The 18,326-nt window shown below is 43.2% G+C and overlaps 2 long non-coding RNA genes across 2 annotated transcripts in view; one reads left to right on the top strand and one right to left on the bottom strand.

Moving 5' to 3' along the window:
- The window catches only part of LINC02966 (long intergenic non-protein coding RNA 2966), a 101,028-nt gene that overhangs the window by 41,810 nt on the left and 40,892 nt on the right, over positions 1 to 18,326 (bottom strand). The window lies entirely within an intron of this gene.
- LOC107985936 (uncharacterized) lies at positions 9,262 to 13,864 on the top strand. The gene is made up of 2 exons (XR_001739651.2): positions 9,262 to 9,345; positions 13,492 to 13,864. It is a non-coding gene; the product is annotated as an uncharacterized LOC107985936 (long non-coding RNA).

Raw genomic sequence — 18,326 nt, 5'->3', positions numbered from 1 at the left:
GCTAAGAGGGCAGAGGGGCCAGTTTAGATGAGAGACTCAAGGGTCATGACAATCAGATTTCATGTGTTACCCTTTATTTGGATCCTGGGCTCACAAGCCAACTATAAAACAATAATGTTCATATAGTTGGGAAAATTCAATTATGAGAAAGGTAATAAATGATACTAAGGAATTCATGTTAATTTTGTTACGGATGATAATCAGGGTCATGCTATGACTTCTGTGGCTTCTAGGAACTTTTGTCTATGTGAGCTTCCTCTTCCATAAAAACAATATTTTATGACCTCATTTTCGTTATTTAATATAATCCAATATGAACTTAATATTATATATTAATATTATTATCTTTATTTTTTGCCTTTAAAAGAAATAAAATTTAAAACACTTTCCTGGGCCTCTGAAAGTACTGTGGGTCTTAGACACTGGGCCTACTGTGTTCAATGGATGAGTCAGCCTTGGTGATAATGCCACAAAGAATTGGAAGAAATTCTTCACAATTATTTTACGCTATAGAGTAAATTAGTAAGAATTTAACTCAGAAAACAAAGAGCTCAAAGAGGATAAAATAAAATGGAAAAAAACTGAAAAGGAATTTGTAATTTTCCAGACAAAAATTGAGAAGCCACATAGTTAAATATATATCATTAAATAATTCATAAATTAGAAATGGCAAGGAAGAGAATAGTCATCCCTAAAAATATTTTGCTGACAGAATAAAATCTGGTAGCAATCACAATGATTCGTAAAACAAAGACTAAGGTTAAAGAAATTAGTCTAAGTATCCCCAGTTCTATTTACTGATCCACAACAAAATAGATTACCTGCAACATTCTAGCCATTCTCCTCTGGTTGAGCTCTGGGTGGCCTATGTCTCACTAAAAGTGTGGTGCCCAGAGTGGAATAGTGTCCTAGTTATTGTCAGACTGACAGACAGTAGGGCAGAACTCTCACATTACTTGTTCGTATTGGTGTAAACCAAGGGTAATAATTGGTTTATCTAAATTAATGCAAGAAAACAGATCCTGCTGGGAATCTCAAAGAAGGAGGCACTGTTATTCTTGGGAATTTGGCTAGCACCATGGTACCTGGCTATGCAGTACCAGCTTCACAAAAGAGTTTTAGAAGTGAGACACCTCTGGTTCCAGGCATGAGAGAGTAAAAGTACACTTTTACTGTGAAAGAGTAAGAGTAAGAGTACCCTCTTACTGTGGTAAACTATCAAAACTAAACAAAATATGTAAAGTAACTGTTTTTCAGATATTGGATAATAGACAATGCAGGCTTGTGATCCCCTGGACATGGGTTATCTTAAATCTTTGGCCAAATACTAAAGCCTAGCAGAGAACAGCCATGGGGAGGCTGGGGTATGGAGCTGAACAGATTCCAGAGATCACATGTACTGAAAGAATCTGGAGTTCTGACCATGTAGAGTGAAGAGATGTTGCTGAACACCCTGAGCATTCAATTTAGATTCCAATAAAGGCCATGACTTAAGAATAGGATTTCTCTCGCCATAGAATAAGGGAAACTCCAGACTGACCTTAATAAAGTCTAAAACAAACACTCAATAAGATCAAGCTTATCCACCAATAAATCAGCAAAATCCATGACTCCTTAAAAGAAAACAATAAAGTCCAGACTCTCAGAAACATAGCCTCCACAGTGGCCAGGACACAATATAAAATTATTAGATATTTGAAGAAGCAGGCAAATCTAGCCCATAACCAAGAGTAAATAGAGTCAGTAGAAACAGACACAGACATGATATTGGAATTAGCAAACAAGGATTTTAAAATAGCATCATAAGTGTGCATGTTCAGAAATTTAAAGGAAAGAGTGACTATAAGTGAACAACACATGGGGAAAAATCAAGAAAAATAGTAATTATAAAAATTAAAATTAAAAATTAAATGAAAATTCTACAGCTAAAAAACACAACATCCAAAAGAAAAATTTATTGCCTTGGCATCAAAACAGACTAGAAAAATGCACCAACCAAAAGGTAATGATATCAAAGAGTGAAATCAAAATGATGGCCACAAAACACCCCTGCCTTCTCTACTATTCCCTCATGGAGGTGTTTTCTCAAGATAAAATGGTTTACTCATTCACTGTCCCCTAGATACACCCCTTTTTTTTTTTCAGTTTCCAGGTGTTTGCTCATACTTTTCCCTTATCTGGCTTTAAGATTTAATATGAGAAAAGTGATGTGGGACAGTCAATGTCAGGAGGCACAGTCTGCACCACTCACTGGTAATGGAATGAGAGTCTAGACATGTACTATCCTGGGACTGAATTATCCACAGGTCAGACAATATTTGTTTTATACTATCTCCTCTAATGTCTTTCATTATAGAATGTAAAACTCTCATCTCAGCATATTATTTTTCTAAATGTTGGAAAAATATCCCCTTTAGAGAGCATAATTACAGAGTTTCTACACTCGTGCTATCGCAACTGTTTCCTGTCTCTACATCCTTATTAGGCTGTTCTTGTGTTGCTATAAAGAAATACCTGAGATTGGCTGGGCGCAGTGGCTCATGCCTGTAATCCCAGCACTTTGGGAGGCCAAGGCAGGCGGATCATGAGGTCAGGAGTTCGAGACCAGCCTGCCCAACATGGTGAAACCCCATCTCTACTAAAAATACAAAAATTAGCCAGACATAATGACACACGCCTGTAATCCCAGCTACTCAGGAGACTGAGGCAGGAGAATTGCTTGAACCTGGGAGGCAGAGGTTGCAGTGAGCCAAGATCATGCCATTGCACTCCAGCCTGGGGGCGACAGAGCGAGACTCTGTCTCAAAAAAAAAAAAAAAAAAAAAAAAAAAAAAAAAAAAAAAAGAAATACCTGAGATTGCATAATTTATAAGAAAAGAGGTTTAATTGGCTCACGGTTCTGCAGGCTGTACAGGAAGCACAGACCCAGCATCAGCTTCTGGGGAGGCTTCAGGAAATTTCTACACATGGTAGAAGGTGAAGTGGGAGCTTGTGTGTCACATGGTGCAGGCAGGTGCAAGAAAGGGAGTGTGGGGGAGGAGCCACAAACCTAATCAATGGGATCTCACGAGAACTCACTCACTACCCCTAGAACAGGACCAAGCCATGAGGGATCCACCTCCAGGACCCAAACACCTCCCCCCAGGCCCTACCTCCAACACTAGGGATTAGAATTCAACATGACATTTGGTGGGGACACGTACTCAAACTATATCAACATCTGTCTGGGATCCCAACCAGTTATATTTTTCTTTCCTATACGGTTATTGGTTTTTATCTCTGGCATATTTAAATACTACGAAAATTTCTAAACAATCTAAATATTATTATTATTATTATTATTATTATTATTATTATTATTATTATTATTTGAGACAGAGTCTCACTCTGTCGCCCAGGCTGGAGAGCAGTGGCGCGATCTCGGCTCACTGCAAGCTCTGCCTCCCGGGTTCGCGCCATTCTCCCACCTCACCCTCCCGGGTAGCGCCCGCCACCATGCCTGACTAATTTTTTTTTTTTTGTATTTTTGGTAGAGACGGGGTTTCACCGTCTTAGCCAGGTTGGTCTCGATCTCCTGACTTCATGACCCGCCCGCCTCGGCCTCTCAAAGTGCTGGGATTACAGAGCAATCTAAAAATTATTTAGACCCAGCTTAGTCGCTACCTTTCCATGGGGTCTTCTTTCACTTCCCAGCCACTATCTTCTCCTGAACTCTCAAAGAACTTGTGATCTTACCAACACATCTGAGTTGCATTTCTGTAGTAGTTGTTTTGTATACATGTGTTACATCTTATTCAAGACTCTGAACTTCCAGAAATCAGGGACAATATATTCTATAATCACAGTTCCCATAATGCATAGGACAATGGACTTTATATAATGTTTCTTTTTGGTCCTTACCTCTGATCAAACAAGAAAATATAGAGTCATCCTGTCTACTCTTGGAAGGAGTAATCAATATTCACCAAAGGATCAGTAAACAGAAGGTCAGTACACAAGTCACCTGTGTCTTGAAGGTTTGCGGTAATAAATGTTGTACAGAAGGGTCAGAGGAACTAAATGGCAGGTGGGTGAAGACTAAGAAGCTACTCAGAGAAGGATTTTGAAGGAAGGCTGTGGTTGGGAGTGGTGTATGTGTGGAAAGGGACAGCGGCTTCTAGTCGTTGGGGTATTTGAGAGAGAGAACGGGGACAATGACTGAGGTTCCTAAGCGGTTAGACGAAGGGTCAATCTGGCCACAGCATTTGGGATATGGGAAGCAGTGGGGGTCTGAGCTCAGGCCTTAGAACCCAGGGAGAAGCACAGATAGAAAGGAGCACTGTGGGAATGGAGTCACCAGTGACACACCCTCCTCCATAGAACCCCACTGCTGAGTGTGGGGACCTGCCCCAGCAACCACCAGACAGGAAAGGAGAATGATCGACAGCACCTTCTGTCAGGGAGAGAGGAGTTGGCAGCACCAGCAGTCCTGGCTCCCCTAAGCACCAGGCTCTCTTATTCCTAGAACCTCCACATTTGAATGGTGTGTGTCTTCCTTAATCAAAAGCTGGACTTTCTGGCAGTTTGTGGTTTAATTTAATTTGCACGGTATTTCATAATAGTTACTGTTACATTAACTGGTATATAACATTGGGGAAAATAAGGTTTTTCTCTGACGATAATTGCCTTTTTAAATGATGATAATTGCCCTTTAAAAACAAGTAATATTCTCGCAATACTCCTTCTTTTTCATGTTGGCTGGTCTTTTTCATGTTGGCTGGTCCAGTATGACTATACTTTAAAATAAAGAATCAAATCCTAGTTTCCATTCTTCAGTTAATACTACTTTGTTGCAATATTTTTATGATTTTTTTCAGTTACAATTAGTTTTTTGCAAGGGCTGACTGATTTGTTGATTTTCTAACTGTTTTAATTACTTGGTTAGGTGTTCCATGTAGAATTTTATTTTTTTTTTTAAAGTCTGGATTAATGCCACGTATTTTATACTTGCCACCGCTTTTCCCACATCCTACATGGTTATTGGTTTTTATCTCTGGTATATTTATCTTCTCTAGATAGTTTAGTGCCTTGTTTTTAAAATTTGTGATGATGAAGTTATTGAGTATGCATTTTCCTTGTTAATATGTTCATTTTTTGTTCTAGAAATTGATATTACACTATAAGCCTATTTGAAACAAACCAACAAAAACAGGTGCCCCAGCTTCTGCCTACAGGAATTCTCAGTAGGATCTCTTGATAGGAGGTGGGAGAGACTGTGAGACTTCTTTTAGGGGGAATACAAGAAAATGCCTCTTCACGCATTTTCTAAGGAAGCCCTCAGAAAGCTCCACAAATGTCCCTGAACTTTGGCAACTGTGAATTATAAAGACTAGGGCTCCACTGGGGGCTGGAAGAGTTCTCAATGTACATAAGAATCACCTTGTAGACTTTTTAAAAGATCAGAAGCTGGATGCCACCACAAGAATCAAATATCTGGGAGGTGCAGCCAGCTTTCCAGGTAATTCTACCCAGCAGCAAGACTTGGGAGCCAAAAAGCGAGGTGATAAAAAGCTCAACTTCAGAGCTATAAATGTGGGGAAAATCCTTTCCAGCACTTGAGACCATGGGCCAGGGGCAGAATAAACCACTGGAAAAGATGGCCGAGCGCAGTAGCTCACGCCTGCAATCCCAGCACATTGGGAGGCCGAGGCAGGCAGACTACCTGAGGTCAGGAGTTCTAGACCAGCCTGACCAACATGGCAAAACCCCATCTCTACTAAAAATACAAAAATTAGCCAGGCATGGTGGCTGGCACCTGTAATCCCAGCTACTCAGGAGGCTGAGGCAGGAGAATCACTTGAACCCAGGAGGCGGAGGTTGCAGTAAGCCGAGATCGTGCTACTGCACTCCAGCCTGGGCAACAGAGCGAGACCCTTTCTCAAAAAAAAAAAGAAAAGAAAAGACACCGCAGAGTACCAGCAGGGAGAATAGGAAGCCAAGTGCTAATGTCCATCAGTCCAGGTGCTGTACCTATGCTTTATTGGACTTCTCCTCCTGCATGTGACAAACTGGCAAGGACAATAATTTTATGAATCTGATTATTTTGAAAAAGGTATTGTTTACTTCCAAAAAGAAAATTAGTTTGTTGTACTTTCCATTCTTCTTTGCTTTATGAGTTCTTATGACTTGGGAGTTATTTCTCCTTGACAAACTTTCAAGGTTGTCAATCTGGTTGTTAAATTGCACGACTGTCTAAATTATGGAAATTAAGTTATCTGCTTTCTGCTTGGTCTCTTTCCTTAATTCTGCAAATCTGTTCCCTGTTACCTTTACTCAAGTGTTAATGACTTCCAGTTTGTATCTGAGGTTCTAACTGTCTTACATCCAAGAAATTAATTCTTTAGAGCTTTTAAGTAGAAGGGGCACAAGTGCCCTGAGCTAGCTATGGGGTCTTGGACAAAGTCCCCTCTCCTCCAGCCTTTTTTCCTTTCCCAGGCAACAGAGTGGGTGGGGAGCTGACCCTAAGCCAAGGGAGTCGGGGAGAAGGGGAGGTGTGGGGACAAGGGTCTGCTGTGCTCACCTGTGATTTTAAACCACACACTTCTGCATCTGAAAAACCTGCTAGAAAACCTTTCATTTCTTGCTTCCCTGCTGGCTTGATTTTCTCCTCTCATTTCTTTCTTTTCTTTTCTTTATATTTTTCATTTCTCCCTTCCTTCCTTTCTTCGTCCCCTCTTTCTTTCCCTCTTTCACTCTTTTGAAATCTGTCAATGTTCATTTGTTTTCTGGACTTCTGACCACAGTTCTGGATTCACAGATATTAGCAGGAAGAATCTAGATATTTAATTTCTAATTTGGCGAAGCCCAAAAGATTTCTTAGGGATTCCAACAAAAAGGAACTCATCAATAATGACAGCTTGAGCCCTTACTATGTGATAACCCTTATGTGACCTTGCATTCATTTAGACTCTACTCAGCCCACAGCCACCATGCAGCTACCTCCAACAGGTACTGCTGCTCACCGCCTTCCAATCTGATGATTCTAGTTGCTGGTACTAGTTAAACAAAATTATGAAAGGCATTGTTCTGGGCTGAGCTACTGCACTAGGCCCCAACAGACCAGATCAAACTAAAATAGAGTCATGCATGCTAAGTGCCATGTAATCAAACTGAAACTTTAAGAAAGCAGATAGATCTCCAAACAGACCAGTTTCTGTTCTCTTAAAAATAGGAGATTCCAGCATAATAGGGAACTCCCCTTGGCCCTAACTGTTGACGTCAATGCCTAGAGTTTTGGTCAACTTCCTAAAGGGGAAATTGTTAAATTAAGTTAAAGCTACTTCCTTACATAATTTAAGTTCAGCCTAAAGGTTTCTTCAAATATTGTGAAGTATAACCTAACTGGATGTGTGGGCAAATTGTAACTTACTCTTGTATCAATCACACAGTTTCAGCCAATCACAGGTGGCCAACTGTTCAAATCATGTTCAAATAAGGCAAATGCTGAGCTGAAACCAATCCAGCTGTTTCTGTATCTTACTTCCATTTTCTATCCATCACTTTCCTTGTTCTGCCCACAAATATTAGCCGGCCATGTGGCAGCCCTGGAGTCACTCCTAACCTATTCTTTTTTTGCAACTGCTGATTCTCTCATTCTTTGCTCAGTGAAATGCTGTTAAATTTAATTTGTTTAAAGGTTTTCTTTTAACATACTGAACTGAGACTTGCTTCCTATTCTCATAAGTTCTGCATAACACCTTACTGTCACCCAATCCAGTCTGTGTGTGCATTATATCCCCATTACTCTGGCCCTGGCAACAGACATATACTGTTTATGACTGATATAAAGGAACTAGCTCCACTTACGTAAAAACTGTCTACACCAGGATAATGAGAAGACAAGCCACAGACCAGGACAAAATATTTGCAAAATACATTTCTGATAAAGAACTCTTATCCAAAATATACTCAATATTAAGAAAATAAAAAAATCCTTTTTAAAAATAGGCTAAAGATCTTAACCTCTCCAAAGATATATGGATGGCAAATAAGCATATGAAAAAATGCTTCACCTCATATGTCATTAGGGAATTTCAAATTAAAACAACAATTGAGATACCACTACACATTTATTAAAATGGCCAAAATCCAGAACACAAACAATACCAAATATTTGTGAATATGTAGAGCAACAGGAGCTCTTCTTATTGCTTGTTGGTGGGAATGCAAAATGATACAGCCAACTTTGGAAGCCAGTATGGCATTTTCATACAAAACTAAACATGCTCTTATCATATGATCCTGCAGTTGTACTACCTGGCACAATCTCTAAAGGGATTGAAACTTATGACCACACCAAAACCTGCACGTGAATGTTTATAGCAGCTGTATTCATAATTGCCAAAACTTGGAAGCAACCAAGAGGTCCTCCAATGAGTGAATGGATAAATAAACCAGTCTATCCAGGAAACAGAATGTTTTTCAGCATTGAAAAGAAATGAGCTATCAAACCATGAAAAGATGTGAAGCAAAATTAAGTGCCTATAATTAAATGAAATAAACCAGTCTTAAAAGAGCACATAGTATATGATTTCAACTATACCATATTCTGGAAAAGGCAAAACTAAGGAAACAGTAAGGTAAATACGTGTACATCCAAACTCATAGGATGTACATTAAGAGTAAACGCTAATGGAAACTGCAGAGTTTGGGTGATAATGATGTGTTAGTGCAGGTGCATGGATTGTTACAAACGTACCACTCTGGTGTGCAGTGTTGATAATGGGGAAGTTGTGGGGTGGAAGCAGGGAAACCTCTGTCTCTTCTGCTCAATTGTGCTGAGAATCTAAAACTGCTCTAAAAAATAAAGTCTATTTTAAAAGAAAATGTCTCTACATATCACCCCAACCATGGAATGGAGGTGGGGACAGGGGGTAATCTTTTCCTCTTTCCACTCTTTGTCACTGTGGACAGACATTTCTTTCCCAAAGGGAATTACTCTATTTGGGGAAGGAGGCAGTGTGGGAAAGCAAGCAAGACAGCCTGTCATTGTCCAGTATGCTACTTATGACAAGTAACTCTTCCCATCTGATATGGTTTGGCTGTGTCCCCACCCAAATCTCAACTTGAATTGTATCTCCCAGAACTCCCACGTGTTGTGGGAGGGACCCAGTGGGAAGTAAGTGAATCATGGGGGCCAGTCTTTCCCGTACTATTCTCGTGATAGTGAATAAGTCACATGAGATCTGATGGTTTATCAGGGGTTTCCACTTTTGCTTCTTCCTCATTCTCTCTCTCCACCACCATGTAAGAAGTGCCTTTTGCCCTCCCCCATGACTGTAAGACCTTCCCCAGCCACGTGGAACTGTAAGTCCAGTTAAACCTCTTTCTTTTGTAAATTGCCCAGTCTCAGGTATGTCTTTATCAGCAGCGTGAAAACTGACTAGCACAGTAAATTGGTGCCAGTAGAGTGGGGCATTGCTGAAAAGATACTTGAAAATGTGGAAGCAACTTTGGAACTGGGTAACAGGCAGAGGTTGGAATAGTTTGGAGAGCTCAGAAGAGAGGAAAATATGGGAAAGTTTGGAACTCCCTAGGGATTTGTTGAATGGCTTTGTCCAAAATGCTGATAGCGACATGGATAATAAAATCCAGGCTGAGGTGGTCTCAGATGGAGACGAGGAACTTGTTGGGAACTGGAGTAAAGGTGACTCTTTAGCAAAGAGACTGGCAGCATTTTGCCACTGCCCTAGAGATCTGTGGAACTTTGAACTTGAAAGAGATGATTTAGGATATTTGGCAGAAGAAATTTCTAAGCAGCAAAGCATTGAAGAGGTGATTTGGTGCCATCAAAAACATTCAGTTTTATAAGGGAAGCAGAGCATAAGAGTTTGGAAAATTTGCAGCCTGATGATGCGATAAAAAAGAAAAACCTGTTTTCTGGGGAGAAATTCAAGCTGGCTGCAGAAACTTGCATAAGTAGCAAGGAACTTAATGTTAATCCCCAAAACCATGGGGAAAATGTCTCCAGGCCATGTTAGAGACTTTCACAACAACCCCTCCCATCACAGGCCAGGAGGCCCAGAAGGAAATAGTGGTTTCCTGGGGCCAGGCCGAGGGTCCCCATGCTGTGTGCATCTTAGGAACTTGGTGCCCTGTGTCCCAGCCACTCCAGCCATGGCTGAAAGGGGCCAATGTAGCACTCGGGGCCATGGTTTTAGAGGGTGCAAGCCTCAAGCCTTGGCAGCTTCCTAGTGGTGTTTAGCCTGTGGGTGCACAGAAATCAAGAACTGAGGTTTGGGAACCTCCTCCTAGATTTCAGAAGATGTATGGAAATGCCTGGATGCCCAGGCAAAAGTTTGCTGCAGGGGTGGGGACCTCATGGGGAACCTCTGCTAGGGCAGTGCAGAAGGGAAATGTGGGGTCAGAGCCCCCACACAGAGTCCCTACTGGGGCACTCCTTAGTGGAGCTGTGAGAAGAGGGCCACCATCCTCCAGACCCCAGTATGGTAGATCCACAGACAGCTTGCACCGTGTGCCTGGAAAAGCTTCAGACACTGCATGCCAGCCCATGAAAGTAGCCAGGAGGAAGGCTGCACCCTGTAAAGCCACAGGGGTGGAGCTGCCCAAGACCATGGGAACCCACCTCTTGCATCAGTATGGCCCAGATGTGAGACATGGAGTCAAAGGAGATCATTCTGGAACTTTAAGATTTGACTGCCCTGCTGGATTTCAGATTTTCATGGGCCCTGTAGCCCCTTTGTTTTGGCCAATTTCTCCCATTTGGAATGGTTGTATTTACCCGATGCCTGTACCCCCATTGTATCTAGGAAGCAATTGACTTGCTTTTGACTTTACAGGCTCATAGGCGGAAGGGACTTGCTTTGTCTCAGATGAGACTTTGGACTGTAGACTTTTGGGTTAATGCTGAAATGAGTTGAGACTTTGGGGGACTGTTGGGAAGGCAATGATTGGTTTTGAAATGTGAGGACATGAAATTTGGGAGGGGCCTGGGGCAGAATGATATGATTTGGCTGTGTCCCCACCCAAATATCAACTTGAACTGTATCTCTCAGAATTCCCGCGTGTTGTGGAAGGGACCCAGTGGGAGGTAATTGAATCACGGGGCCGGTCTTTTTCATAATATTCTCATGATAGTGAATAAGTATCACGAGATCTGATGGGTTTATCAGGGGTTTCTACTTTTGCTTCTTCCTCATTCTGTCTTGCCCACTGACCTGTAAGAAGTGCCTTTCACCCTTTACCATGATTGTGAGACCTTCCCCGGTCACGTGGAACTGTAAGTCCAATTAAACCTCTTTCTTTTGTAAATTGCCCAGTCTTGGGTATGTCTTTATCAGCAGCAAATGGACTAATACATCATCCCTCAACAAACTTGAGGCCACAGCCTTTGCACCTCAAAATCACCAAGCCCAGCCTCCAGTTACCAAAACTGATTAATCAGACAAGGAAGATCATAAGCTCCACACTCTTCCTCCATGTTATGGGACTACCACAGGAAACATTGCCTGGTTCGGGTCATACAAGCATGCCTTTGCCCCAGTTTTGACGTAAGAGCACCGATGATTTTCTTCTGCTGTCCTGACTCTCAGACCTTTTCTTTGGACGGTGGTGCTGACTCCATTCCCCGCTCCCATTGGCCGAATGTGACTCAGGCTGGACCAATCAGAGCCTTGCATTCCCCTGGCCATAGTGGTTGGTTCCAGATCAAGCCACACCTAAATCCACGCCCTAAACTCTTCTGTCACTTGAGCTTGTACATGTCCTCTTTGCTTAAGCAGTTTTGGGTTGGGTTTGCTGTCGCGTGCAACCGTAACAGCATTGAAGATTTATCCACACAGAGCCTGGTGCCTGTGACAGTGTGCCCGTATAAGGCCAGCTGCCAAGAAGACGCGAGCCTAGCATCCAGCCTTGAGTTTCTATGCAACTGTGTTGACTGGAGACTTCTGAGGAGAGAAGAGGCCTCTAGGAGACAGGCTAGGGTGGGAAGCGTTAAGACAGGGTAGGTGCCATCAGGAGCCTCCAAACCTGCCCCAGAGCCACCAGTCTGCCTCTGCGGGCCTCTCTCTGACGCCCTTCCAATCTGTGCCCTTTCTGCAGCTGTCTTCCCTCCATTGTCATAAATACAATCATGCAGCCAAGTGAGTCCAGACTCAGCCAGCTCTTTCTCATCCATACCCAGGGCTCTGCAATCTGCTTTCTTCTCCTTCTCCCTTTGTAGCCCATAATTGTGATGATCTGCCCCACACACCAAAGTCCACTGTCTCAGAACCTCACCCCAGACCCTCTGGGGGCCCTTGCCTTAACAGTCAGCTTCTCACTGACCACCCTCAGCTGAGGCTGAGGTTCCCTGACACATAGCAGTTCTCTGCTCTGGTGGTGCCCTAGAATCACTTGAAAAGATTGGACAAAACACTGAGGCCCGGCTGGGCGCGGTGGCTCACGCCTGTAATCCCAGCACTTTGGGAGGCCGAGGTGGTTGGATTACGAGGTCAGGAGATCGAGATCATCCTGGCTAACACGGTGAAACCCAGTCTCTACTGAAAATACAAAAAATTAGCCGGCTGTGGTGGCGGGAGCCTGTAGTTCCAGCTACTCGGGAGGCTGAGGCAGGAGAATGGCGTGAACCCGGGAGGTGGAGCTTGCAGTGAACTGAGATCACGCCCCTGCACTCCAGCCTGGGCGACAGAGCGAGACTCCGTCTCAAAAACAAAAACAAAAACAAACAAACAAAAAACACTGAGGCCTGGGCCTCATTTGCAGCTCTTCTGATTTAACTGCTCATGAGTAGGGCCCAGGCAACAGGATTTTGTAAAATTCCCCAGATGATTCTAAGGTGCAGTGATACAGTGTGAGTCTCTGCTCACAATTTCTGGGGAAGCTCCAAGCATGGCCCTTTGCACATGCTTGTTGCGTTTAAGGAAAAGTCCACACACAAATGCAAAGAGCTTCACGAGGCACTTCAAACTAGTGTCCCTTTTCTTCAATCCTCTCAGTGGTTTCCATGGCACCTGGAGTGGCCTAGAAGGCAGTGTCTGTGACTTGGCCCCTGTCTGCCTCTCCTTCCACATCTGGAAGCACTCTCCTATTGCAGACCATGAGGCATCCCCCCGGCCTTCATTCTGCTCCCTTATCCTGGTGACTTCCATCGCAAGCCTGACTTCTGTGCATCAGTCAGCCTGGGCTTAAACATCCCAGGCTACCCCAACTGAAACAGGTCTCCTCCCCAGTCACTCCATTGCATCATTTTGCTTCATTGTCATAGTATTTCGCACTATCTGAAATTACTTTGTTTTTTATCTGTATAAATTTTTTATTGCCCATCTTACATCCCCCTCCCCTCCAACACACACACACATATCCAGTAAAGTAAGCCTCAAGAGGACAATTCTGTCTGTTCTTTCATGTCTGTATCCCAGTACCTACTGCCTGGGAGTACACCTGGAGCTCAGCAAACATTCACTGACTAAATGGTTGCATTTTCCCCAGCAGGATGTACAGACGAAAAAAGACCAGAGGATATCAAATCTCACCACAAGGTGGGAGCATGCGTCCAGTCAATCGAGAGATCCTCTGTGCTGCGCACTGAGAGCACTCGGAGAGAAATCGTCAACGTGAGGCGCCTCTGGCTTTCCATCCTTCCATATCTGTCTAATTAACTCACATGCTAAGAAGACCAGCCATCAAGCCAGACAAGGAAGCTGGGACTTCAAATTTCCCCTACCTAGCCTCAACTATTCTCCCTTTATGATGGGCACATTAATATTCTTCCAAAATATCAGCATCATTTTGCAACTGGCTACAAAATACTTTAAAAGGAAAGATTCCACATGTTCCAGAAATAAAGTGCTTGAAATACTTTTGACGATGAGGATAAAACCCGTGTTTTAAGAGGAAGTTAGCTAAGGCTGGAGAGTTGGAACCCTCTGGCTTACTGATATTTATTGATCAATTACTGTATGCCCAAACATGTTGTGTAATAGTTGATCAGTAACTACTAAGTATAAACAAACTTTGACACTCCTTACCACAAATGGGCTTTAATAATAACAAACTAGTGAAGTTGGTTGGGCACAGTGGTTCACGCCTATAATCCCAGCACTCTGGGAGGCCGAGGAGGGTGGGTCACAAGGTGAGGAGTTCAAGACCAGCCTGGCCAGGTCTTTTGTATTTTTTGTAAAATACAAAAAATTAGCCAGGCATGGTGGTGGGCGCCTGTAATCCCAGCTACTCGGGAGGCTGAGACAGAGAATTGCCTGAACCCAGGAGGCAGAGGTTGCAGTGAGCCGAGATCATGCCACTGCGCTCCAGCCTGGGCAACAGAGCAAGACTCCATCTCAAAATAAAAATAAAAGTAAATTGGTAAAGTCCTTTTTTTATATAGATTTTTCCCATGTGTCTGGGAAGACAAAATGAACATTTGAAACATGAAGCAGTAAAGTGCTCAAATTTGGTAGTTTGAACAATTAAAAGTTAGGGTAACTGTAGTATGCTGTTGAAGTATGCTGAATGAAGTATGCTGTTGAAGTATGCTGAATAAAGAAGAGAGCAAGCAACTTGGAGAAAGAAAATCAGAGTCTTCTGCTTGGGGTCTTAGTCACTTTACCTCTGAGTACCTGATTTGGGGGTGAAGCCCCCAGAACCACATATGCTTCATTTTCATAGTATTTAACACTATCTGCTCCATGCAAGTTCATTGAACAAATGAATCCATTTGTAGAGAGGGAATGATAATAATATTAACCTCTGTGGCTAGGAGGTTTAAATGAAATAATGAAGCCAAACAGGTTTTGTAACTCATAAAATGCTACAATATATTGTATATTATGATTAAATGCTAATCATACAGCCCAACAATAGGAGAGCCTGAGGCAGGCACGGAGGAGTCATTGTCCACCAGAGACCTGTGGGAAGGCTTCTTAGAGACGGGAGAGGGGCAAAGCTCTGGAGCATACCTCTCCACCTTTCTCCATCACGAGCAGCCAATCGGCATTTAGCATACCCCACCAGGCAGCAGGAACCCCCTTGCCAGTCTTCATGGAGAACATGGGTTCTCATCTGGGAACAAGTCCATGCTCCAAAGGCCAGAAATGCTTCCCTCTTGGCCAGATTCTTTCCAAATGGCAGAGAGTGACTTTTCAGCAAATTGGATCTAATAATATTCCTGCCAGGAACCCTCCTACCCCCACCTCACACATTAACATCCTAGGAAGAAAGGCTCTGGAGCCATTCAGAATCTTATTATTGCCACTATAATTATTATAGTTATGACTATGACAATCATTATAAGGAAAATCATCCAAATGTAGTAAGGCAAAAAAAAAAAAAAAAAAAAAAAAGAAGGTGACTTCATGGCTATGAACAGAGTTAAAAGGCCAGCAGATAAAGAGAAATGTCAATCTCTCTTCTGCCAGGCCACCTCCAAGTGTGTGGGGAAGCTGGGTGTGTATTGCAGGGGTGCAGGGGAACTGCCCTATGGGAGGAAGAAGTCCTTTCCTTCTCCTTCCTGTCCAATACTTGTCTGTTCTCCTTTCCAAATGTCTCTAGCAGCCCTCATTTCCTCTCCATCCCTTCTTTGACTGCCTGAACTCAGGCCCTCATCACCTCTTGCCTGTATTATTGCAAGACCCCCCTCACCCACCTTCCAGCCTCTGGGTTCACCCAGTCTCTCTAGTGTTGCCCCAAAGGGATCTTTTTAAAATAGATGGCATCATGACACTCCTCTGTAAAACCCAGGCGAAGCTTCCCATGGAAAATATGAGAATATATGTGGAAGTCTTCTGCATGGCTTGAAAGGCTTCAGAATGGTGCTATTATCTGCATGTTTGTGTCCCTCAGAAATTCACAAGGTGAAGGTGTTAGGATGTGGGGCCTTTGGGAGATGATTAGATCATAAGGGTGGAGCCTATGGGAATGAAATTAATGTCCTCATAAAAGAGGCTGCAGAGAGGCCCCTCACCCCTTCTGCCATGTGAGGACCCTGCAATAAGGTGCTTTCTATAAGTCAGAACACGGGCCCTCACCAGATATCCAATCTGCCTTGATCTTGGACTTCCCAGCCCCCAGAACTATAAGAAATACATTTCCGTTGTTTATAAACCACCCAATCTATGGTGTTTTGTTATAGCAGCGTTATGTAGCAGCCTAAACATGCTAAGACAACTGGCCACTGCCTTATCCTATGGAGCCCACAGGCAGAAAGACAGATTCTTGGCTCCTGCACATACATCACCCATTCACATGCTTTATGTCCTCTTTTCTCGTAGTCAGTCAAGTTGTTCTCATAGCCTGGAAGTACCTGTTCATCCTACCGCCTACCTTTTGAAGTCTTTCAAACCTTGGCTCAGACCACCTGTTCCAAATATTTCTCAATGTTGGAATTATCTTCTCCTCAGCCTCTCCTAAGTATATTATTTGCATTTAAGATACCCACCCTCAGATTTGGGCTACTAAGTTCACATCTCTAGCTCCCTGAGCCTGCAACCCCTGGGTGTCACCTCCTCCTCCAATATTTAGCATTAGTTAATAGTTGGAGCTGAACAAATGCCTGGTGAGTTGAAAGTATGTTTTATCGCTTTACCTTGGTATGTTCTTGCAATGATTCTGTGGGGCGAGCACATCACTGTGATGACCATGGTGCTGCACATGAACAAACAGAAGCCAAGCAACTTGGCCTGGGCCAGACACCCAGGTGATGGATCCATGTGTACAGCCTAGCTCACTACAAAGGAAGCAAGGGTGGACCCACTCAGAGTGGGACACTGCACTGGGGAAGTGCCTGGGGTGACTCCATGGGTCACAGTATATAACACAGTGATTAAGAATCCAGGCTCTGTATCTGAATCTCAGTTTCATCCTTTCTGTCTGTGCAATCCTGGGTAAGTTTCTTCATCTCTTAATTTCAGTTTGTTTGTTTATAAAATGAGGGTAATGATAGCACCCTCACAGGACTGCCAGGAGTAAATTAGATAGCATCAAATACTAGCATTGAAGCAGGCATATACCGATACGTAGAGTTTTGTTGTGATTAAATTAGCACTAAGAGTATCGACAAACGACAGAGTCATATTTCTCTTTTGTGCCTGGGAATAGTGAAGAGGAGTCCAAAGTACCATCCCAGGAATGAGGAGGAGAAGGAGAGGTTGGAACAACATCCCCTGGTTGCCTGAGCACATTCCCAAGATACCAGGCCACCCATCAGCATTTCCCAAGCAACAAGTCACTGTCATTTCCTCCCCCATGCCCTGGGAAAGTGCACAAATTGAGTTCATTCCACAAGCCACTGTCTCCTCTTCTCAGGCCCAGTCATGACCCTCCCAAGCTATTTGATACACAAAGGTCCAGGTATCAGCCATGTTGGATGTGGTTCTGCAGGCATCTTTAGGTACACAAAAGATGAAAGCAGCACGCTTGCAACGAAGTTAGTCAGTGCATGGAAGAGATGCCTTCTTGCTTCTTTGAATCCAGGTTAATGAAAGGTGAATCCAGTTATCCAAGTGGAAGGAAGACAGCGAGAAAAGATAAAGAGAAGTTTCAATAGTGATGAGGAACCAGGCAAGACCTGCTTCCTAAGTTGCAGCAGAGGCTGAATAGTTCAGACCCTGGAGTCAGTCTGCCTGTGTTCAAATTTCTGTCCCATCACTTCCTAACTGCATGGCTTTGGGCAAATTATATTGGCATTTTCTATTTCCTTACCTGCAAACTCAGAGTGCTGCTAACATCTATATCATAGAATCATTGTAGGGATTAAATGGGATAATTCATGTAAAGTTCGTAGCACAACACTGGACACAATAAATGCTCACTCGGTTAAGAGGGTTAGTAGTGGTGGTGGTGATGGTGGTGATGGTGGTGGTGGTGGTGGTGGTGATGGTAGTTTGATCCTGATCTAAACTGGGTGAATAATTTTATTCCCATTTCACAGGTTCAATAAACTCAGGTTCAAGCAGTCAACGGTCTTGCTCAAGGTCACACAGTACATGGCAGGTCCAACTCAAGTTCCACTCTGTTTCTGCCTGGGAGCTCAGTGAGTGATCCAAATGCCCTAAGGAGGAGGAGCTGAGACCAGAATGGACATTCTTTTCTGAAAATCAGAGGACAAGAAAGATCCAAACCAAAGACCAAACTGAGCTAGGTAAAACATGAAAACATTCCAAATCATTACTTAGAACTAGTTAAGAGCATGCCTACTGAGAAAGTCACTCTCTTCTACTTCCCTGAAATTGCCAACTTGTGCAAGATTTCACCATTCTCCTCCCCAGTATTCGTCTACGTCAGATGTAGTACTTCTATACTCAGATATAGTGCTTCAAGGGAGGCCTTACAAC

This window comes from Homo sapiens, chromosome 2 (genome assembly GCF_000001405.40).
Source record: "Homo sapiens chromosome 2, GRCh38.p14 Primary Assembly".
Lineage (NCBI taxonomy): Eukaryota > Metazoa > Chordata > Mammalia > Primates > Hominidae > Homo > Homo sapiens.
The sequence above is the reverse complement of the archived record's forward strand: the minus strand, read 5'-3'. Positions and strand labels throughout refer to the sequence as shown.